The sequence below is a fragment of the Homo sapiens genome, chromosome 17 (assembly GCF_000001405.40).
Source record: "Homo sapiens chromosome 17, GRCh38.p14 Primary Assembly".
In the NCBI taxonomy this organism is placed as follows: Eukaryota; Metazoa; Chordata; class Mammalia; order Primates; family Hominidae; genus Homo; species Homo sapiens.
Window position 1 is genome coordinate 72,837,217 of NC_000017.11, and position 23,913 is coordinate 72,861,129.

Consider the following 23,913-nt stretch of genomic DNA (forward strand, 5'->3'; position numbering starts at 1 on the left):
TCCACACAAAATCAAAATCCACAGCAACTGCCACCTCGTTGGAAAGCAGGGCTCAAAAAACAACTTTATTTTTCTCCTGTCTATTGACTTGGAGGAAAATTCACTAGATTTTTTAAAAATGTACTATAAAAATGTATATTGCTCAAAAAAAAAAAAAAAAAAAAAAGCAGGACTCATAGACACCCCAAGCAAGTGCCATGGTAGGTGGGACAGAGATTATCCCTTTGTGTCAAAGGACTCTGCTGGATGGAATGAATGGGAAGGAACTTAACAAAAAGAACTGGCTTCAAAGAGTTCAAAGGTTTCCATATGACCCAGCAATTCTACTCCAAGGTATGTACCCAAGAGAACACAGGTCCATACAAAGACATAAACACACATAGCAGCATTACTTACAACACCCAAAAAAGTAAAAACAATCCAAATGTCCATCAAGTGATGAAACAGTAAACAAAACACGGTGTATCCATAGAATAGAGTATTATCTGGCCAGAAAAAGAAAGACTTACTGATACATGCTACAACATCAACGAAACTTGGAAGCATCATGCCAAGTGAAAGAAACCAGACACAAAAACATACATATTACATGATACCGTTTAAATGAAAGTCAGTCCCGGTTAGGGAAACTGTAGAGACAAAGTAGATTAGTGCAGGGGCTGGAGGGAGGGAGGAATGGGGAGTGACTGCTAATAAGCATGCAGTTTCTTTTTTTCCTCAGAGGTACTGCTCAAAGAGTGTGGGGTTTCTTTACAGGGTGATGAGAGTATTCAGGAATAGTGGTAGGTTGGGTACAGTGGCTTACACCTATAATCTCAGCACTATGGGAGGCTGAAGCAGGAGGTTCTCTTGAGGCCAGCAGTTCGAGGCCACCCTGGCCAACACAGCAACACCCTTGTCTCTACTGGAAGAAAAAAATTAAAATTAAAAATTAAAAAGATAGTGATGGTGGTTGCACAACCTTTCAGATATACTAAAACCACTGAATTGTGAAATTTATTTTTCTTTCCTTTTCTTTTTTTTTTTTTTTGAGACAAGGTCTTGCTCTGTCACCTTGGCTGGAGTGCAGTGGCACAACCACGGCTCACTGCAGCCTTGACCTCCAGGGTTCAAGCAATCCTCCCACCCTAGCCTTCCAAGTAGCTGGGACCACAAGCGTGCACCACCACACCTGGCTAGTTTTTTAATTTTTCGTAGAGATGGGGGTCTCGTCATGTTGCCCAGGATGGTCTCCAACTTCTGGGCTCAAGCGATCCACCCACCTCAGTCTCCCAAAATGCTGGGATTACAGGCATGAGCCACTGTGCCTGGCCTTGAATTGTGAACTTTAAAAGGGTGAATTTTATGGTATGTGAATCATATCACATTCTTTTAAAAAAGTTAACAGGGACTCTTTCCTCAGTGTGGAAGTGTAATTGACAGACCTCCTAACTACCAGTGAGCGTGGGGATGAGAAAATGCCACACAATAAAGTTGCTTGAGAAAGAGAGAGATTGAGCGACAGATCATGTGTGAGATGGAGTAGGGTCAGTAACCATTTAAATATGCCACTGACCTTGAGAAAAAGAATGTCAGCTATAATCACAAGCCACAAACGTCTGTCACTGTGAATTGGCTCATCACGAAGAACTGAGGGATAACATGGAGTTATGATAGCAGTGGAGGCAGGCAGGGGAAAAGGGCCCATGAGATATGGATGGCAGCACTCTCCCCCATTCCCTGCCATCCCCACTGCACATGTATAAGCTAAGTAAATATTACGTCGTCTTTTACTAACACCCCAAAACTCTCACTTGATGAAGGACCAGGGGAGTAAGTTGCTGAATGGGCTCATTAAGACTTAGGAATTCTTTAGAGGCTCAAACACAGAAAGCCAGTGATGGGAAATAAGGATGACACAGCTGATAGCCCATGGGAGTCCCAGGGTGAGACTAAGACTCCATAAGAGCCAGGCTTAGACTTATAAAGGAATGCTGGCTGCTGAAGACATTTCAGAACTCAAGCTAAGAATCTCTGGCCTGCATTCAGAAGATACCTTTGGTCTCTGTGGTTGGCCAAATGATGGCTCCAAATATATCCAGGTCCTCATTCCTGAAACCTGTGAATGTTACCTTTCATGACAAAGGAGATTTTTCAGATATGATTATCCTGGATAATCTGGGTGGTCCCTCAATGCAACCACAAGAATCTTTATAAAAAGGCAGAGGGAGATTTGGCACAGAAGAGAAAGCAGTGATCCTGGAGGTACTGATTGGAGTGATGTGGCCACAAGCCAAGGAATGCCTGCAGCCTGCAGAAGCTGGAAGAGGCCAGGAATGGATTATCCCCTAGAGCCCCCGGCAAGAACACGGCCCTTCCAACCCCTTGACTTTATCACAGTGAAACTGATGTCAGACTTCTGGCCTCCAGAACTGCAGGAGAATAAATCTGGATTGTTTTAAGCCACTAAGTTTGTGATAATTGGTTACACCAGCCAAAGAAAACCAAGGCAGTCCTTCATTCTGCTTCTAACTTGTCTAAATATTAAAACATCCCCAGTAAGATGATCTCTAGCATAAAGGAATAACATCTCTCTACTTCTGTGCATAAGTTGAGGGTTGAGGTGTTGAAGTGGTTAGGTGATGGTAACTCCTTGATGAACTGAGTCTGATGCAGCTGGAGTGAGAACCACGCCAACGTGGTGCTGCAGACATTAACGTTTAATGTGGCAAGCTTAAAAAAGGCAAGAATTTCACCTTTCCAAAAAAGCATTTTTATCTGATCGCAAGTCATAAATATTTACTACAGGAAAGCTTAGTTATAAATCTCACAAAAACAGGAAGAAAATAAAAGTCATCTGCAATCCTATCACCCAGGAATAACCAACCACTGTGAACATTTTCATGTCTAAATTTGGGTTCCTGTTCCCTGAAACAAAAAATCACTTTGGATTAAAATCCCAAGCATTTCTTTGAAAGCCATTATCAGGAGCTGGCAATGAGGACAGGCCACATGACCAAAACCAACTGTTGTGTGGTTCTAGCAACACAAACAGTGGTCCCCAGGCCTCTATGTCATAGCAACAACCAGCAAAACAAACTTGGCTCTTGATACTATTGAGAGGAAAATAAAAAGCATGGAATTCACCTACCCTCTTCTCTGGACCTTTAAAATAATTTCAAACACAAAAGGCAGCAAGAGTCTGCCAATGTATCATCAGGACCCACATGAGTCAATGTCCTCCCTTGGCCCACCTGGACAATGTAGAAAGAAAATTAGGCGGCTGGGAGTGGTGGCTCACACCTGTAATCCCAGCACTCTGGGAAGCCAAGGTGGGCGGATCACCTGAGGTCAGGAGTTTGAGACCAGCCTGGCCAACATGGCAAAACCCCGCCTCTACTAAAAGTACAAAAATTAGATGGGCGTGGTGGTGGGTGCCTGTAATCCCAGCTACTCAGGAGGCTGAGGCAGGAGAAGCTTGAACCTAGGAGGCGGAGGTTGCAGTGAGCTGAGATCGCGCCACTGCACTCTACCCTGGGTGACAAGAGCGAGACTCCATCTCAAAAAGAAAGAAAATTGGCTGGGTGCAGTGGCTCATGCCCGTAATCCTAGCACTCTGGGAGGCCGAGGCAGGCAGATCACAAGGTCAGGAGATCAGGACCATCCTGGCTAACACGGTGAAACCCCGTCTCTACTAAAAATACAAAAAATTAGCCAGGCGTGGTGGGGGGCGCCTGTAGTCCCAGCTACTGGCGAGGCTGAGGCAGGAGAATGGTGTGAACCTGGGAGACGGAGCTTGCAGTGAGCTGAGATGGCGCCACTGCACTCCAGCCTGAGTGACAGAGCAAGACTCCGTCTCAAAAAATAAAAAATAAAAAATTAGGACACCTAACTCTCAAACAGCCCCTCCTCTCTTAGAATGGAGGGCAGGTACCCAATGCACCAGTTCTTCTAGGTGCTCAAGTATATAATACATATTGAATACATCAAAGCTTCAGTATGTGTTATAACATTGGGCCCCCCAAAAAGAACGCAGTATAGAACTTCTTGCAAGAAGCTCCATCTATCAGGGGCAAATAAACATGTTTAAATACAGGTAATTGCATCCATCAAGAGTTGAATGAATAAAGAAAATATGGTACATACACACAATGGCGTATTATTCAGCCACATAAATGAATGAGATCCGGTCATTTGCAACAACATGGATGGAACTGGAGGTTATTATGTGAAGTGAACTAAGCCAGGCATGGAAAGACAAACTTCTCATGTTCTCACTTATTTGTGGGAGCTAAAAATTAAAACAATTGAACTCATGGAGATAGAGAGGAGAAGGATGTTTACCAGAGGCTGGGAAGGGCAGTCGGGGAGTCGGGGGAAAGTAGTGATGGTTAATAGGTACAAAAAAAAATAGATGAGTCAGACCTAGTAGTTGACAGCACAACAGGGTGGCTATAGTCAATAATATAATAATTGTACATTTTAAAATAACTACAAGTATAACTGGATTGTTGGTAACACAGAGGATAAATGCTTAAGTTGATGGGTTATGCATTACATACCTGTATCAAAATATTTCATGCAGGCCAGGCGAGGTGGCTCACACCTGTAATCCTAGCACTTTGGGAGGCTAAGGCGGGAGAATCTATTGAGCCCAGGAGTTCGAGACTAGCCTAGGCAACATGGCAAAACCCTGTCTCTACAAAAAATACAAAAAAAAAAAGAAATTAGCTGGGTGTGGTGGTATGCACCTGTAGTCCCAGCTACTCAGGAGGCTGAGGTGGGAGGATCAACTGAGCCCAAGGTTGAGGCCGCAGTGAGCCATGATCACACCACTGCACTCCAGCCTGAGTGACAGAGAGAGATCTTGTCTCAAAAAACTATGTGTGTGTGTGTGTGTGTGTGTGCACGCACGCGCATATGTATTTCATGGCCCCATAAATATACATACCTATGTTACTGACAAAAATTAAAAATAAATAAATAAATAAAACACACAAACAGGTAATTGTAAGTCAGAGTGATAATTATGGTAACAGAAGATAAAGGATACAGCAAGACAGCACAAAGGAAGGAGTGATTAACTTTGTTAAATAAATGAAATTAATAATAAATATTTCTATGATTCTTCACAGTTATCATCCAATGCTAAGGCTAGAAGGAGCCATAACAATAATTTACCACAATCCCCTAAATTTTCAAATGAATGAATGTTTGAATGAGATAACCCCTAGAATCTCTTTAAGCTTCCAATTTAACTTTCTCCCATACAAAGCAATGGTGCAGTTCACTGTTGAGACCATAAGGTACTCATGATAAGTGATTAGTAGGAACTCAATTGCTAGGTGATTTTTAATGCCATTCAAAAACAGAAGGGCCAGGAATCTTTGGAAGGCTCAGAGCCCTTCAATCTGTATGATACTGCATGGACAGCACTTCAAGAGACAGTATGCTCAAAAGGCTGCAGTCTCGGGTTGGTTTTCTAAAAAACCATGTTGTTTCCTCAGGGTGTCCTTCTGCAGCAGACACAAACACCCTAGACCACCCCCACAGATGCACCCAGGCAGGCGCCACGGAAGTAGCTTAGAAGGAGGCGGGTGGTGTCTGCACTCTGTTTCTGGAGTCTGCCTTTTAGTGCTCTTTTTACTGCGCCTGCCTGCATCTGCTGGTCTGCATCAGTCATTACCATTTCTTCCTAAGACATTTCAATTGCACAACTATACTTTTCTTTGTCCTCTAAAGGGGAGGGTTTTTTGCTTATTTGTTTTTTTCTGAGATGGAGTCTTGCTCTGCCTCCAGGCTGGAGTGCCATGGTGCGATCTCGGCTCACTGCAACCTCTGCCTCCTGGGTTCAAGTGATCCTCCTGCCTCAGCCTCCCAAGTAGCTGGGATTACAGGCACGTGCCACCACGCCCAGCTAATTTTTATATTTTTAGTAGAGACGGGGTGTCATCATGTTGGCCAGGATGGTTTCTATCTCCTGACCTCGTGATCTGCCTGCCTCAGCCTCCCGAAGTGCTGGGATTACAGGCCGTGAGCCACCGCGCCCGGCCTGGGGAGGGGTTCTTTCCTGTTCTAGGGTTGTGGATAGACTCCATAAAGTCTAAACACCCAGAATTGTCTGCAAAATATTGTGTGTGGCTGTGGTCTCAAGGTTTATGTCTCCCCAGAATTCATATTTGGAAACCTAATCCCCAATGGTATTGTTATTAGGATGGTGGGGACTTAGGGAATGAATGGTATTAGGAGGTGGGGACTTGGGGAAGTGATTAGGTCGTGAGATGGAGCTCTTATGAATGGGATTAACAACCTCATGAAATGAGACTCCAGAGAGTGCCCTCTTTCCACCATGTGAGGATACAACGAGAAGACAGTCACCTGCAACCCGGAGAAGGACCCTCACCAGAACCTGACCACGACCATGCTGGCAGCCCGATCTCAGGCTTCCAGCTTCCAGAACTGCGAGAAATAAATTTCTGTTGTTTCTAAGCTACCCATTGTATGGCATTTTGTAATGGCAGCCTGAACAGACTAAGACATGTGTACAACATCCTCTTGTGAGATGGTGTATAGCTCTTATCAGATTCACAGGACAACTGTGAACCACAGAAGCTTAAGAACTATTTGACCTTGCACATGTGTATTAAATATTAACCCAAGAGCCCCAGACGTGTGCATATGCCTTCGGGTGTGGCCTCACACTCTGGATACCTCCGGGAGATAGGCTACTATTAACAAGCCTTCCATTTTCCTTCTACTCCAAAAAAAAATTTTTTTTAGCAAAATGTCATCCTCAGGACATACTAAACTGAAATAGCAAAGACAAAAAACTTCAAAAAAAAAAATCGATTCTCCATTTAGTCATTGTGAAAAGTCTGTCTTAAAAACCCAGAGTCTCAGGGAATGTCAAAGCTCTAGTTAAATTTTTAATACACTATAAAGGATAGTGTTAAAGAAGAGACCTTTTCAAAGGTAAGTTGGCTCCAAACAGGCTCTTAAAATGGTCCTCATCAAAGACATGAAGCTGCTTGACAGTGATGGTGAGGGAGTTCACTTCTCTTTAGACAGGATTAGGAGCTGAAGACTTGAGGAATGAGCCACAGTGGGTCTTTGGAGACACATCTATTTGTAGTTAGACCCTTGGTGGCTTCATCCAGTGTCAGGGGTTTAAGTAACATTCATGTGCCAAGGGACCAGGCGCAGTGGCTCACGCCTGTAATCCCAGCACTTTGGGAGGCCAAGGCAGGTGGATCAGTTGAGTCCAGGAGTTCAAGACCAGCCTGACCAATATGGCAAAATCTTGCCTCAACCAAAAATACAAAAAGTAGCCAGGTGTCGTGGCATGCGCCTGTAGTCCCAACCACTTGAGAGGCCGAGGCAGGAGAACCTCTTGAACCCAGGAGGTGGAGGTTGCAGTGAGCCAAAATTGCGCCACTGCACTCCAGCCTGGGCATCAGGGCAGACTCTGTCTCAAAAACAAAAAACAAAAAAACAAAAAACATTCATGGGCCAATGATTCAGAAATCTATAACTCTAGCTAGACTTTGCAAGCCAACTCCAAACTCATGTATCCAGCTGTCTAGTCAGTATCTCCATTTGAATGTCTAATGGCAATCAAACCTCACAATCAAAAAACAAATTCCTGATAGTCCCCCTAAAGCCCCTGGAGCTGCAGCCTTCCTCGTCTCAGTTGATGGCAATTCCATCCCTGCAGCTGGGCAGCCCTGAAACCTCCGGGTCCCTCCTGGCTCCTCGCTTTCTCTCATATCCCACATCCAATCCATCGGCAAATCCCATTGGCTCCACCTTCAATCGGGACCCAGGAAGGGATCCCTTCTCACCACATCCAGCACGACCACCTTGGTCTGCACCACTATCATCTTTGATCTGGATTCTGCAGTGGCCTCTACATAGGCCTCCCTGCTTCCATCCTTACCTCTCCTAAGTCCCATCTCAATTCAGTATCTAAAGAGAAACAAACTTTCAAAGCTCAAGTCAAGTCATACACACCCTCTTCAAAACTCTGCAATGGCTCATCACACACAGAGCAAAAACAAACATTCTTATGCCTCCAAGTTCCATCTAAAGGAGGGGCTGACATCCCTGCCCTCACCTTGTACTTCTCTCCCTGCTGCTCACCCTGCTGTGGCCACAGTGGACTCTTGGCTACTCCTTGTGGGGGCCAGACATGCTCCTGCCTCAGGGCCTTTGCACTGGCTGTTCCCTCTGCCTAAAACACTCACTGTTTCCCAGAGATCTGCATGACTGACTCAAATTCAAGGACATCTCAAGGAGCCCCTCCCTACCTACTCTATTTAAAATGGCAATTTCTTCCTCTAACACTCTACCGTCTCCTCTGCCCTGTTGAACTTTTTCTTTTTTTAAATCACTAACCACCTTCTAACACAATATAAAATTCATTTATTATGATGATGTTCATCGACTATCTCACCTTGCTATAATATTGGTTATAGAAGGCCAGAGATCTTGGTCTGTTTTAGTACTGATATAACCCAAGTACATGGAATACAATACTCAAATATAATAAATAAAAGACAAGACTGGGAAAGAAATGTCCCTTCAAACCTCTCCATCCAGTCAAGCCAGCTGTCCTCCAGTTTACTGAAACCAGTGACTATTACCACCATGCTTCTGGTGAAATCTAACTCAATTGAGATTCCTGGAAGGCACTCAATCCTCATTTCAATTTATTTTTTATTTTACTATTATTTTTGAGACGGAGTCTCGCTGTGTCACCCAGGATGGAGTGTGGAGATAAGAGAATCCATCTTTCAAACCAATGAATCTCTCTCTCTCTCTCTCTTTTTTTTTTTTTTTTTTTTTTTTTTTTTGAGACAGAGCCTTGCTTTGTCGCCCAGGCTGCAGTGCAGTAGCATGATCTTGGCTCACTGCAACCTCTGCCTCCTGGGTTCAAGTGATTCTCCTGCCTCAGCCTCCCAAGTAGCTGGGATTACAGGCATGTGCCACCACTCCCAGCTAATTTTTGTATTTTTAGTAGAGACGGGGTTTCGCCATGTTGGCCAGGCTGGTCTCAAACTCCTGACCTCAAGTGATCCGCCCACCTTGGCTTCCCAAAGTGCTGGGATTACAGGCATGAGCCACTGCACCTGGCCTCAATCCTTATTTGAAAAAATACTTTTGCATCACCATAGAAGTGACAAAGGCTGAACTTAGACTTGGAAACTCCAAAGACACAGAATAGGGTCTCCTGTCAGGGAAGAAGTAAGATTTTAATTTATGCTCATTTAAGATCATCAAATATTGCTGTCATTCCACACATCTTCCTCCTGTTTCTGGCTTTATTCCAAGTTGTCACTGGAGTCAACAAACATTTGAGAAAGTAAACTCTGAACCATCCTGGCCTTCCATTGGGATGAGCCAGGAAATAATTCCAGCTGAGCATAATGAATCACCCAAGTACAGTGGCAGGTGTGGTATATAAAAGGGTCCATTAGAGGAAAGTTGGATACTCATTCCATTGCTATAAAGTCTGGACCTTAGACCACATTTTTGTTCTTCAGAGAAATAGTTGCCGTAATACACCTCAGTGTAGTTACCTTATTTAACACTAAACCCACTGGGCAGATCTTTACTCTTCCTCAATTGGCTAAAGAAGGGGTCATAAATGGCAGAAAGACAGCTACTATTATGAATGAAAAACAAGTAACCTCTCTTCTCTAACTATTAGCACTTAACAGGCTACAAGTTGCTGTCAGGGCTCCTAAGTAGTCCTCTGCAGGGGACCAAGGGGTCTTTCAATGACCTCTTTAAGATACGGGGTGGGCACGAGCAGGGTCTTCCACCAAGGCTAACCCACTTTGGCCATCTTTGTGCAGTGAGGTCCATATAAGACCCCATCTTTATCTCAAGACATACTGAATACCAAGATCTAGAAAACCAACAGGGTCAGATGCTGTGGCTCATGCCCGTAATCCCAGCACTTTGAGAGGCTGAGGTGGGCTAATCACTTGAGGCCGGGAGTTTAAGACCAGCCTGGCCAACATGGTGAAACCCCGTCTCTTCGAAAAATACAAAAATTAGCTGGGCATGATGGCACACATCTTTAATCCCAGCTACTCGGGAGGCCGAGACAGGAGAATTGCTTGAACCGGGAAGTGGAGATTGAAGTGAGCTGAGACTGCACCACTGCACTCCAGCCTGGGCGACAGAGCGAGACTCTGTCTCATAAAAAAAAAAAAAAAAAAAATTGGAAAACCAACTAAAAAAAGCTTATTCATAACTCAAAGAAAAGGGTCAAGAGGGGAATGAGGGAGACACATAAACTGATGAAAATGTTGGGAAAACTGGCCTACCTATGATCGTATGATAGACATTCCTAAGATTAGGATAGAAATAACAGAGGAATGTGCTTCTTATCTAGAGAAATATCTGAGCTTAAAAAGTAATTAAACACATAGTGCTTTCGGCAGATTTAATATATACTAGAATATATAATATGTATTAGAATTTTCACACTTTAAAGACGACAAAAAAAAGTCTTCATTGTGCAAGCAAAACAATATCAAGTTATACAGAGGAACAGACTCACTTTGGCCATGCTTTTTGCTTCCACAATACTAAAGCCAGAAGACAAGGGATCAACATCTGCAGAAGCTTTGTAGAGAAAAATGTCATGACTAGAAAGCTTTGCCCAGCCAAGTTCTTGCTCCTGTATTAGAGTAACAGATTGGCACCATGAACTCTGCAAGGACTCAGAAAATGTATCACCCAAGGATGCTCCCTGGGGAAGATTATTGCTCAAACTCGAATTCCCAAACAACAAAAGGTGGGTCAGCATGTTTAAGATCTCAAGATCGAGGAAATCATGGCTGAAAAGGCAGCAGGAGTATCATCGATGCCAACAATGCGCTCGTAAGTCCCAAGCACTGTACTGAAAGCTGTATGTATATTTAGCATCTCATTTAATTCTCTAAGTAAGCCACTTGTGGCATTATCCCCATTTCTTAGATGAGAAAACCAAGGTTCAGGGAGTTCAAGCAATTCGTCAAGATAACCTCCTTAGGAAGTGAGAGAGTTGGAATTTCAAAATGCATCCCAAATTGCTCAGGTTCCCTCAGTTTATTTATTTTTAAAAATATCTTTATCATTTCCTATGCTTAATCATGTTTTCTAGTTGCTCTAAAAGAAACATTCATTGTTTTTGAAATAAGGCATTAATATGTCCTTTTTTCCAATTAAAATACATCTAAAGACATAAAACAGGCCAGCGTGGTAGCTCACGCCTGTAGTCCCAACACTTTGAGGGGCCGAGGCAGGTGGATGACCTGAGGTCAGGAGTTCAAGACCAGCCTGGCCAACATGGTGAAACCCCATCTCTACTAAAAATACAAAAAATTAGCAAGGCATGGTGGTGCACACCTGTAATCCCAGCTACTCAAGAGGCTGTGGCAGGAGAATCACTTGAACCCAGGAGGCAGAGGCTGCAGTAAGCCAAGATCGCTCCACTGCACTCCAGCCTGGGGGACAGAGCAAGACTCTGTCTTAAAAAAAAAAAAAGACATAAAAGAAATTACTCTAAAATGCTAAATAGGAAAGGATTGGTAAGAACATTTCAGAAAGATGCCCACATAAAGAAGGCAGGTAAGGCAATTATCAGTGCCAAATTATACTGAACTCAATAGACTTGACCCTCGAACAATGCAGACGTTAGGAATGCTGGTTCCCTGCGCAGTAGAAAATCTGCAGAGAGTTTTTGGCTTCCCCAAAACTTAACTATGAATAACCTGCTGTTGACCAGAAGTCTTACCAATAACATAGTCAATTAGTACATATAGTGTATGTTATATGTATTATAAACTGTATTCTTACAATATAGCAATCTCAAGAAAAAATGTTATTAAGGAATTCATAAGATAACATATATTTACTATTCATTAAGTGGAAGTGAGTCATCATAAAGGTCTCATCCTCATCCTCTTCACATTGAGTCAGCTGAGGAAGAGGAGGGGTTGGTCTTGCTCTCTCAGGGGGCAGAGGCGGAAGAAAATCTGAGTGTAAGTGAACTCACGTAGTTCAGATCTGTGTTGTTCAAGGGTCAACTATGTTTTCAAATAGCATTAAGCAGAACCAGAGATACCCAGTATTTATAAAAGATACCCTCCACAGCAATCATGTAACAGTTATGAATTTATGCTCCAAATAACTTGGTAACAAATATGTAAACAAAAAGGAAGTAGAAGTTGTTTAAACTAACCGGAATGGGAAGTTTTCACATATGATGATCTATCTATGACGATCAAAAAATAAAGCCAAGAAAGATTTGTACTGCCACCTTCACTCCTCTCCAAAAAGGACCCACGTCACAATTGCCCCTTCCCCTTTTCCAGCCAGACAACTGTGCTGACAAATGACTTTACCTTCAGGCAGTGGCTGTCACGCTCACGGGCAAGACCTCACCTGGAACGTTGTGTATAGTGATGGCCAAGATGAGCAGTGCGATCCTCCTCCAGCTGCTGCCGCCGGGCTGTGCCAGATTCCCTCGAGAAGGCACAGGGACAGCAGGACCCTCTGGAAGGCCAGTGGCTGCCGCCTTCTTTCTCTGATATGCCTCACCATTCTCACTCTTGTCTGAGCAAAAAAAAAAAAAAAGAGAGATGGGGAAAGACAGCGCTTTGAACATGTGCACGTTAACTCTCCAGCAAGCTACAGCAGGAAGAAGCTTCTTTTTCTTTTTTGAGACAGGGTCTTACTCTGTCACCCAGCCTGGAGGGCAATGGTGTGATCACAACTCACTGCAGCCCCAACTTCCCGGGCTCAAGCCATCCTCCCATCTCAGCCTCCCAAGTAGCTGGGACTGCCATCTTCACTCCTCTCCAAAAAGGACCCACGTCACAATTGCCCATTCCAAACTTCCTGTAGACTATGCATGCTTCTGTGTGTTCTCTCATTCACTCAGGCATCCATTCATTCAGCGAACAATTCATTGACTAGGCTGAGCATGGTCACTCACGCCTGAAATCCCAACACTTCGGGAGGCTGAGGCAGGCAGATGGCTTGAGCCCAGGAGTTCGAGACCAGCCTGGGCAACATGGCACAATCCCATCTCTACAAAAAATAAAAATAAAGAATTAGCTAGGCGTGGTGGTATGCACCTGCAGTCCCAGCTACTTGGGAGGCTGAGATGGGAGGATGGCTTGAGCCCGGGAAGTTGAGGCTGCAGTGAGTTGTGATCACACCATTGGCCTCCAGCCTGGGTGACAGAGTAAGACCCTGTCTCAAAAAAGAAAAAGAAAAAAAAAATCACTGAACAGGCATTCAGTGCCCAATGCATAGGTACCAAGAAGGATAAAAAAGATGAAGATGTGGTATCCTAGCAATGCCTGTTTAAGACAAGCAATGTTGAGTCATGATTAGAGACACAGATGCCAGAACCATGCTGCCTGCTTCCCTTCCTGACTCAGCCACTGGCCAGCTGTGTAGTGCCAAATAAGTTGTTTCACCTCTCTGTGCAGTGGTTTTCTGATTCGTAAAACTAGAATAATAGCATTACCTATGTCACAAGCGTTTTGTGAGGATTAAATGCAACAATGTCTGAAAGTACTTAGAATGTACTAAGTGCTGATTGTATTGATGGTTATTGTTAGTATCATGTTCCCTCTCCCATAGCCGTACAGAATTACATAATATGTGACCCTGCTCTCCTGGTCACACTGATTTATGGGAACCAATTCAGACGCCTGGCTCAGCCAATCAGAATCCCTCTCCAGGGAGAATTGGCCACTCCAACGTGCAAGCTAAATCTGAAAAATCACGTGATGCGCGAGCAGCTCTGCCACAATGGAACGAGGGAAGCGGCTGGACAGACAATCAGAAGGAATCAGATATACATCAACAAGCAGAGATGGGAAACCATGCAGCTAGACAGGAGAGAGAAGGGCAGAACTGCAGCCCACGTGCCACAGACATTCATGGGCCATCCGTAGCACCCAGCCCTTGGGTTTTCTGAGCAAACCTTCCTTTTAAAAATGCCTTTACAAATTGGCTTATATTGGAAGAATGTCATTCTTAGAACCTTATTCTAAATATCCATGGTCCCCTGGGCTATTTGTTTATTCATAATGGAGCCAAATTGTGTGGATTTGAAATTGGGAGGACAAGAGTGGGAGAGAGCATCCAGCTTTCAGTTCACAGCATGGGATGGATTTGTGGGGAAGGCTTTCTAGAGGAGATAGGTCTTGAGTGAATCTTAAACACGTGATGGCACAGACAGAATGAAGGGTCCCTTTATTGGGAGAGAAAACCCAGCAAGCATAACTCAGGTGTCTGTTAAATTAAATAAGCAAAAGGCCATTGGTCTGAGGCTGTACTTTGAGTTGCTTCGCAGTGAACTACAACCTAACTTAGTATGTATACAAATGAAAATCTCATTAGGAGTATATATTTTTTGTAATAGGATAGCTAGATCTCAGTCAATCACAAGCGGCTGAGCTTCAACCAATCACAGGCAGCCAAGCTTCAGCCAACCAGAGGCAGCCAACTGATCAGACTAAGTCCAAATAAGGTAAATGCCTAACTGTAACCAATTAAGCTATTTCTATACTTTATTTCCTGCTTGAATTTCAAAAAACACGGAGCTCTCTGAATGTCTTCTAGTTTTGAATGCTGCCTAATTCACGAAGCCTTTAATGCTTAAATAAATTTAAAAACATTAGAAGAAAAAAACTTCTTTTGAAAATCATTTTGTGGCCAGGCGCAGTAGCTCACACCTGTAATCCCAGCACTTTGGGAGGCCGAGGCAGGCGGATCATGAGGTCAGGAGATTGAGACCATCCTGGCTAACACGGTGAAACCCTATCTCTACTAAAAATACAAAAATTAACTGGGCGTGGTGGCAGGCGCCTGTAGTCCCAGCTATTCGGGAGGCTGAGTGAGGCAGGAGAATGGCTTGAACCCAGGAGGCGGAGCTTGCAGTGACCCGAGATCCCGCGGCTGCACTCCAGCCTGGGCAACAGAGCAAGACTCCGTCTCAAAAAAAAAAAAAAAAAAAAAAAACAGAAAGAAAGAAAGAAAATCATTTTGTATTTATTTGCTCAAATCCTACAAGTACAGATTGAAAAGTAAGAAAGTACAGGGCAGGTAGACTCACTCCTCCCCAGCTCCCAATCATTTCTCTCTTACTAACAGCTGAATCTCAGTTCCATTAGGAAAAGGGGGGTCTTTGGTCCTCCACAACGCAAGGATGCCAGTCCTCCACTGGTCAGTAGCCCTGACTCACATAACCAGCCTGTGGAGAATTCAGCTGTCTCAATTGGATAGCAACTCCTCCCAGACAGTATTTACACAAGGCGAAGCTCCACACTCATTGTGTGGTATCCACACCATGTGTATGCATGTACGTGTGTGTGTGCATGTGTGCATGTGTATGTGCGTGTGGGTGCATACAACTGCTACTCAGTACCATCCTGAGATATTAGATCACCTTCGTGTATGTATGCACATGTGTGCACTTCTGTGCACACATTGGGGGAAGGGGTTTTATACATTTTGAGTAGACAATATGTAGATGACTCAGGCTGCAGATGCTGGTTGAGAAACTGAACTAAACATCTGGGATTTCAAGCTCACAAATGCTAAAGACATAAGCAAAGCAGTCCCTGAGAGCTGTCCATGAACTAACCTGGGTCATGGTGGAGGGTCCTCAGCTTTCTCCTAGATCAGTCAGCAAACATTCCTGATTTCCTGTGCCTGGTCTGAGCATACAGGCCTGCACTAGATGCTCTCCAGTGAGAGTTGATAGGGGCCAAAAGAAAAATCTCTTCTCTTGCAGACTTTTGATTGATTGATTGATTGATTGATTAAGCAGGGTCCCACTCTGTTGCCCAGGCTAGAGTGCAGTGGCACAATCTCAGCTCACTGCAGCCTCCACCTCCCAGGCTCAAGCAATCCTCCCACCTCGGCCTCCCAAGTAGCTGGAACTATAGGTGCACGCCACCATGGCCAGCTAACTTTTGTATTTTTTTTTTTTTTTTTCAGTAGAGACAGGGTTTTGCTGCATTGACCAGTCTGGTCTTGAATTCCTGGACTCAAGCGATCCACCTGCCTTGGCCTCCAAAAGTGCTAGGATTATAGGTATGAGCCACTGCACCTTGCCCCTTGGGGATTTTATAATTTAAGAGAGGGCAGACAGAGAAGACACACACAAATTCCCTCAAATCTAAGGGGCTAAACACACACTCTAACAATCACCGACAGTTGCGCTTGTTTTTGCCAATGTCACAAAAGGATCCTACTCTGAATCTCCTGCAGATACCGCACAGAGAGCAACAGACCTCGGACGCACCACGAGCAAATTCTAGCGTTCTGCTTGTGTTTTATAGGAACATCAAGGAGCATAAAGAATTCTTCACCAAAATAAAAATGCACGCCTGGCCCCAGGCTTCCAATGTGTGAAAACTGACGTCAGTGCCTTCCCTAGTAGGAAACAGGAGGGTGTGAATGCCTCACGTCCTTGTGAAAGTTAAATAAGCCACCATTTGGTGACAGCCACTAATGAGTCTGCAACAAGGAAGATTAGTCCAAATAAATCATTACAGAGTATGATGCGTCGTGAGCAATGAATCTTCTTGCCGCTCCTGGTAAGGCTAGTTCAACCATCACACCCATCAAGTAAAATGCTAGTGCGTGGGAAAAGGATGATCAGTTAGCGGAGGCAATTGCCAAGCACCTTGTGGGATGTGAGGGTGTGCCAGAGTGACAAGAACCTCGTGAGGTTTCTTGAAATTGGAAAGGTTTGGGCACTTTTGAAGTGGAGTTTGGGAAGGAGGAGTAGAGGGGGGACTATTTCATTTAGGGATGAAATAGTCAATGTCAAACTCAGAAGCAAAACAACATCAGAGACACTGGTTAATAGGTAATATTGGGAACTTATCTTCAATGAGTCCTCAATCCTTACAAAAGCCCCATGAAGTAGAGATTAATCCCCTTTAACGAATGAGTAAATTGAAGAACAGAGAGGCAGAGTAACTGGTCCCAGGTCACACAGCCAGTCTGCAGTGGACTCAGGAGTCGACTCAGCATCTTTGCCTCCAGGAGCCCCTCTTTTAACTAGGGCCTCATGGTTGACTGGGGATGAAGTGGGGGGTGGGGTGGGGGTGGAGAAAAGGCTGAACTGCTCATTGCTTGCCAAAAAAGGTAGTGGGAGCAGTTGCTGCCGTGAGAAGGAGAGTCTGGTGAGCTCTCATTGCCTGTGACCAGAGTGGGGAAAGACTCAGGAGAAATCTCGTATCTATAATCATTCTTACTTGCAGACAAACCTGAAACATTTCATGATAGTAGTATGTGTTAACCCATTAGACCTACTATTTCTAAGCATAAAGTAATTGCAAGCAGAAAATATTTACCCATGCTAAGCCCACAACACAGGCTTATACTTCTTTTGGGAAGGAGAATGAAGATTCTTTGTTGTTAGGAAAAAAAAGTTGCCCATCATTAAAATTTTGTTTTTTAACTTATAATTGAGCATCTAAGAATTCACACAAAGAAAGGACCCACTGCCAGGGCTCAGCCTCTCATCCTTCCCACTCCATCTTTCCTGGAAAAGAACCACAGTGCTACATGAAAGGGTGAGGACGACAATAAAACAGACAGAAAAGTCCCAGGCTCACTTTTCCCACGGAATCACCAGGTGATCTTTTCTGATGCATCCGCTTCCCTGATTTCCTCTTCCCCAAAACAAAGGACATGATTGTGGCCACAAAACATCATAGGATGGAGAAAAGCAGACACGGGTCTTGCGGGCACAAGCCCAGGGGCCATCAGCAAACCCTGCTGCCCAGGTAAGCCCCTGCCCTTCAAGGTCTGGCTTCCTCCCTGCAGAGTGGAAGTCTCTGAAGTCCTCTAGTGAATGGCCCCAAACCATTTTGGATCAGCAACCGCCTTTGAAAGTACGGCGAAAGTTACAATCCAGCAAAAAATACACAGACCATTTTGAAATAATTGTCGGGTCCTTATGGATTCAAGAACGTCAGACTGAGAACATCTTGCTAGATAAATGCCAAGTTAACCTCCGTTTTCATAGCCCACGGGCCCAATCACACCAGCAACACAGAATGTATGTGGTCCCTGAGATGGTGTAACCGGCTAAATCTAATGGGCCCAATGATGGAATTGCAGGCCCCCGATGAATATGGCAATGCTAATTAACAGAACACTAGCCAAGAGAGCTTTAACAACATTCCCATGGTATTATTGGAGATGATTTGGTTGGATTAGCACAAATGGCAAATCGTCATCTGTTAAGTGCAGAAAGCATCAAATCCCTGGAAAAACTCTTTCTAAACCCCTGTTACAAAACAAAATGAAGAGTGGCCAGCAACATATATTCATTAAGTAGTATGTATACACAAACAAAACCAAAGGCCAATCAAAAGCAGAATAGAGGCCGGGTGCGGTGGCTCACGCCTGTAATCACAGCACTTTGGGAGGCCGAGGTGGGCAGATCACAAGGTCAGAAGATCGAGACCATCCTGGCTAACACAGTGAAACCCCGTCTCTACTAAAAAATACAAAAAATTAGCCAGGCGTGGTGGCGGGCACCTGTAGTCCTAGCTACTTGGGAGGCTGAGGCAGGAGAATGGCGTGAACCCGGGAGGCGGAGCTTGCAGTGAGCCAAGATGGCGCCACTGCACTCCAGCCTGGGCGACAAAGCGAGAATCCGTCTCAAAAAAAAAAAAAGCAGAATAGAAGGGGATCAACTTATATTGTCCCTGCCTTCTTGTTTCCCAAAGAATCAGTCTAGTTTCAGGTAACACAAATTATTATTTACATTCTCATATGATGGGAACTTTTGGCTATTTCTAGACTTTTTTTCTTATAAATATCACTGTAAAACCTTTAATGTATATAAACAATCAGAAATTGGACAAAGTTCCCAGAAGTTGAACTGTTGATCAAAGGGCCATGATACAATTCCCTAATAAATTTCCAGGAAGGCTGTGTCACTTACCCATGAACAGAGTTTGCAAGTTCTCATTATGCCGCTTCTTAGCCCTGGTATTTCTCATCTTGAAATAAGTATATTTATTTATGGGGCAAATGACATTTCTCTTAATGGGTATTTCTTTGACTACAAGTGAGGTGGAACATTTTTCAATTTCAGGCATATTTCTTTCCTCTTTTGAAAGATGCCTGCTGCCCAAATGAGGCCTCTTTAAATAACAGTAATATGATTAGCTAATTATTTACAGACACTGGTAATTTTCCTGTGATCCGCTTAGGTTTGTCAATGAGACCTAGCTGGGAGTAGCAGGTATTATTATACATCAGACAGACGTATCCACTTGGCCAAGTTGGAGTTTTAGCCTCAAATTTTAAAATTCCTTTTTGAGATTCCTCAAGACATTATAGGGCTTTAAAAAAAAGTATTACCTGCTTTCCTTATGGAACTATGTAGTATGATCCTGAAAGCTAATTTTCTCAGGCAATTGTCTCTTTCAATATTAAAACTTTTTTTTTTTCTTTTTTGAGATAGATTCTTGCTCTGTCACCCAGGCTGGAATGCAGTGGCGCAATCTCGGTTCACTGTAACACCCGCCTCCCAGGTTCAAGCAGTTCTCCTGCTTCGGCCTCCAGAGTAGCTGGGACTACAGACATGCACCACCCCACCCGGCTAATTTTTGTATTTTTAGTAGAGATGGGGTTTCACCATGTTGGCCAGGCTGGTCTTGAACTCCTGACCTCAGGTGATCCACCTGCCTTGGCCTCCCAAAGTGCTGGGATTACAGGCGTAAGCCACCACATTCTTTTTTAAAAAACTTTCACTTTAGGTTCAGGGCTACATGTGCAGGTTTGTTATACAGGTAAACTCATGTCACGGGGGTTTGTTGTACAAATTATTTTGTCACCTAGGTACTAAGCCTAGTACCCAATAGTTACTTTTTCTGATCCTCTCCCTCCTCCCACCCTCCACCCTCAAGCAGGCTCTAGTGTCTGTTGTTCCCTTCTCTGTGTCCACAAGTTCTCATCATTTAACTTCCACTTGTAAGTGAGAACAACTGGCATTTGGTTTTCTGTTCCTGCATTAGTTTGCTAAGGATAATAGCCTCCAACTCCATCTGTGTTCCCAAAAAAGACATGATCTCATTTTTTTTATGGATGCATAGTATTCCATGGTATATATGTACCATATTTTCTTTATCCAACCTGTCACTGATAGGCATTTAGGTTGATTCCATGTCCTTGCCATTGTGAATAGTGCTGCAATGAACATTGATGTGCATGTGTCTTTATGGTGGAATGCTTTCTATTCCTTTGGGTATAAACCCAGTAATGGGATTGCTGGGTTGAACAGTAGTTCTGTTCTTAGCACTTTGAGGAACTGCCACAGTGCTTTAGTTCAACAACGGTTGAACTAATTTACACTCCCACCAACAATGTATACATTTCCTTTTCTCTGCAACCTCATCAGCATCTGTTATTCTTTGACTTTTTAATAATAGCCATTCTGACTGGTGTGAGATGGTATCTCATTGTGGTTTTGATTTGCATTTCTCTAATGATCAGTGGTGTTGAGATTTTTTTCATATGCTTGTTGGCCACATCTATGTCTTCTTTCGAAAAGTGTTCGTGTCCTCTGCTCACTCTTTAATGGGGTTGTTTCTTTCCTGTAATGTGTTTAAGCTCCTTACAGATGCTGGATATTATATCTGTCAGATGCATAGTTTGCAAAAATTTTCTCCCATTCTGTAGGTTGTCTGTTTACTCTGTTGATAGTTTCTTTTGCTGTGTAGAAGCTCTTAAGTTTAATTAGATCCCATATGTCAATTTTCACTTTTGTTGCAATTGCTTTTGGGATCTTTACCATGAAATCTTTCCCTGTTCCTATGTCCAGAATGGTATTTCCTAGGTTGTCTACCAGGGTTTTTATAGTTTTGGGTTTTAGACTTAAGTCTTGAATCCATCTTGAGTTGATTTTTGTATATGGTGTAAGGAAGGGATCCAGTTTAATTTCTATATATATGGCTAGCCAGTTATCTAAGCACTACTTATTGAATAGGAAGTCCTTTCCCAATTGCTTATTTTTGTCAGCTTTGTCGAAGATCAGATGGTTGTAGATGTTCAGCCTTATATATGGGTTTTCTATTCTGTTCCATTAGTCTATGTGTCTGTTTTTATACCAGTACCATGCTGTTTTGGTTACTGTAGTCCTATGGTATAGTTTGAAGTTCGGAAATGTGATGCCTTCAGCTTTGTTCTTTTTGCTTAGGATTGTTTTGGCTATTTGGCCTCCTTTTTGGTTTCACATGAATTTTAAAATAGTTTTTTCTAGTCTGTGAAGAATGTCATTGGTAGTTTGATAGGAATAGCATTGAATCTGTAAATTGCTTTGTGGCAGTATAGGCATTTTAATACTATCGATTCTTCCTATCTCCATAAGCATAGAATGTTTTTCCATTTGTTTGTATCATCTCTGATTTCTTTGAGCAGTGTTTTGTAATTCTCCTTGTAGAGATCCTTCACCTCCCTGGTTAGCTGTATTCCTAGGTATTGTATTCTTCTGGGGTCAATTGTGAATGGTATTGCGTTCCTGGTTTGGTTCTCAGCTTGGCTATTGTTGGCATATAGAAATACTAGTGATTTTTGTACAGTGATTTTGTATACTGACACTTTGTGTATTCTGACACTTTGCCTAAGTTGTTTATCAGCTAAAGAAGCTTTTAGGCCAAGACTATACAGTTTTCTAGATATAGAATCATGCCATATGCAAACAGGAATAGTTTGATTTCCTGTCTTCCTATTTGGATGCCCTGTATTTCTTTCTCTTGACTGATTGCTTAGGCCAGGACTTCCATTACTATGTTGAATAGGAGTGGTGACAGAGGGCAGCCTTGTCTTGCTCTGGTTTCCAAGGGAATTGCTTCCACCTTTTCCCCATTCAGCATGACAAGCATCACTCTTTTCAAAAGAAGAGGATGTACAAGAGCTTCTCTAATCTTCTTTCCCTCATAGCTTGGGAATTCTTGTAAACAACACAGGAGTTTTGTAATCAGTGCACACAAATACAAAGCACCTATTGTGGACAGGCTCCTTGCTAGGGTTGCCAGATTTAGCAAGTAAAGACAGGATGCCCAGTTATGTTTAAATTTCAGATAAAACCAAGATTGTTTTAGTGTAAGTATTCCCACATATTGCATGGGATCTACTTATGCAACAAGGTGTTCATTGTTTATTTGAAGTTCAAATGTAGCAAGGTAACCTGTATTTGAACTGACAACTCTACTTGAGCCCCTGAGGGGCTCAAGGGGCACTTCTCCTCTTGGAGCTGCAGATCCCGCTTGGGAACCCAGGCAGGGACAAGGGAGACCAGGACTTCCTGCTCCACAGACCCAATTTAGGGACCAGGTTCTATGGAGTTGAGCAAGCTGACTGCACTCTACCCTGAGAGCAGCCACATATTCATCTCCATGTAAAATCTATGCAGGATGTGCTACATGGGCCACGTGTAGCCCAGGGCAGGAGAAGATTCCACTGGAGACCAAGAAAACTTCATAGAAAGATAACTAAAATATTTATTATGGGCCAAGGCTGGCGGATCACAAGGTCAGGAGATCGAGACCATCCTGGCTAACACGGTGAAACCCTGTCTCTACTAAAGCTACAAAAACTTAGCCAGGCATGGTGGCACACGCCTATAGTCCCAGCTTCTTGGGAGGCTGAGGCAGGAGAATGGCATGAACCTGGGAGGTGGAGCTTGCAGTGAGCAGAGATCGCACCACTGCACTCCAGCCTGGGCGACAGAGTGAGACTCCATCAAGAAAGAAAAGAGACTAGACGAGGAGAGGGGAGGGGAGGGGAGGGGAGGGGAGGGGAGGAAGGAAAGAAAGAAAAGAAAGAGAACACAAATCAAATGGGATCGTGGCAAACTTTTGCCAAGGTTTGAGTTGAAGGTGGGTAGTGGAGCATGGAAAGAAAAACCCACAGGCAGCACTATGACAGAGTAGTCCTGCACAACGATGGGTGCCCTTGGCAGATCATGTTTGCTTCCTGCTAGTTTGCTAGTCTCGCCACCATCTTCCCATTCACAGGATCAGCAAAAGTGATTCAGACATGGGATCCACCATTTCCCTCACCAGGAGTACCAGGGTAGAAAGCCACAATTGCTGTGAGTCCCAGAAGTTTCCCCTTACTCATCTCTTCTGAATGTTCATTCTGTGTGTGTATGTGTGCGAGACAGAATATACACATGTATGTGCCCACATGCAGATTAAAAGTTGGGCACAGTTTATGAGTCTGTCATTTCCTCCAGTTCCTCTCCTGGGGATTGTCAATCAAATCAAAGGATGGTAGGTGCAGGCAGGTGGGGGCACAGGTGGGGACAACCTAAGTTGCTGGCATGCTGGACAAAGGCAACCAGTCCTCCCAGCAGGCACAGCTCAGGGAGACAAGCGAAAAACCCGTACCAGGCTTGGTGCACGTTCCTCTTTTCTTACTTCTTCAGGATTCTCTCTTTTCCTTTTTCTCTGAGGTATTGACAAGGAGGACTATCGGTGTCATTGCAAAGAAAGCAGGAACAATGATTCTGGGGGACTGAGAACCTGGGCCAACTGCATTCACTCACTGTAAAGCAGCTGTTTTTCTGCCCATACATGTTCATGCATCAGGGCGACCATTTCCTGGTTATGCATCTTTGGGGATGCTCATTGATACCCTCTGCGCCTCAGTTTATGCACTTGCCAAACGAGGGTAATAGTATTACCCACTCTACAGGATTGTTGTGGAGAGTGGATGAGAGTAGGTATAGGACCCATCTAGCACATAACACGTACAACACAAACCACATTCTCTAGTTTCTGCCACGAACTAGTATTGCACTTATAAAAATATAAAAGAAAGAGTAATGTCATCTAGTACACCTAATCCATTTTAACTTAAATCCAAAAGGGCAAGAGGCCCATG

The 23,913-nt window shown here is 43.7% G+C and overlaps 1 protein-coding gene across 35 annotated transcripts in view, besides 1 other annotated feature; it reads right to left on the reverse strand.

The window, feature by feature from the left end:
• The window catches only part of SLC39A11 (solute carrier family 39 member 11), a 446,740-nt gene that overhangs the window by 191,268 nt on the left and 231,559 nt on the right, over window positions 1-23,913 (reverse strand). For 30 of the 35 annotated variants that reach the window (NM_139177.4, NM_001159770.2, XM_017024330.2 and 27 more), the window contains one exon: window positions 12,418-12,588. The exons of the other annotated variants lie outside the window; for them this stretch is intronic. In NM_139177.4, the coding sequence (NP_631916.2) occupies window positions 12,418-12,588 (171 nt within the window). The remainder of the gene's footprint in view (window positions 1-12,417; window positions 12,589-23,913) is intronic. 35 annotated transcript variants of the gene reach the window in all.
• Window positions 21,834-22,128: a silencer, noted in NCBI's record as "tiled region #3335; HepG2 Repressive DNase matched - State 9:DNaseU". NCBI's record gives its function as "represses a minimal TATA promoter and a strong SV40 promoter by Sharpr-MPRA in HepG2 cells {active_cell/tissue: HepG2}" and the evidence as "EXISTENCE:reporter gene assay evidence [ECO:0000049][PMID:27701403]".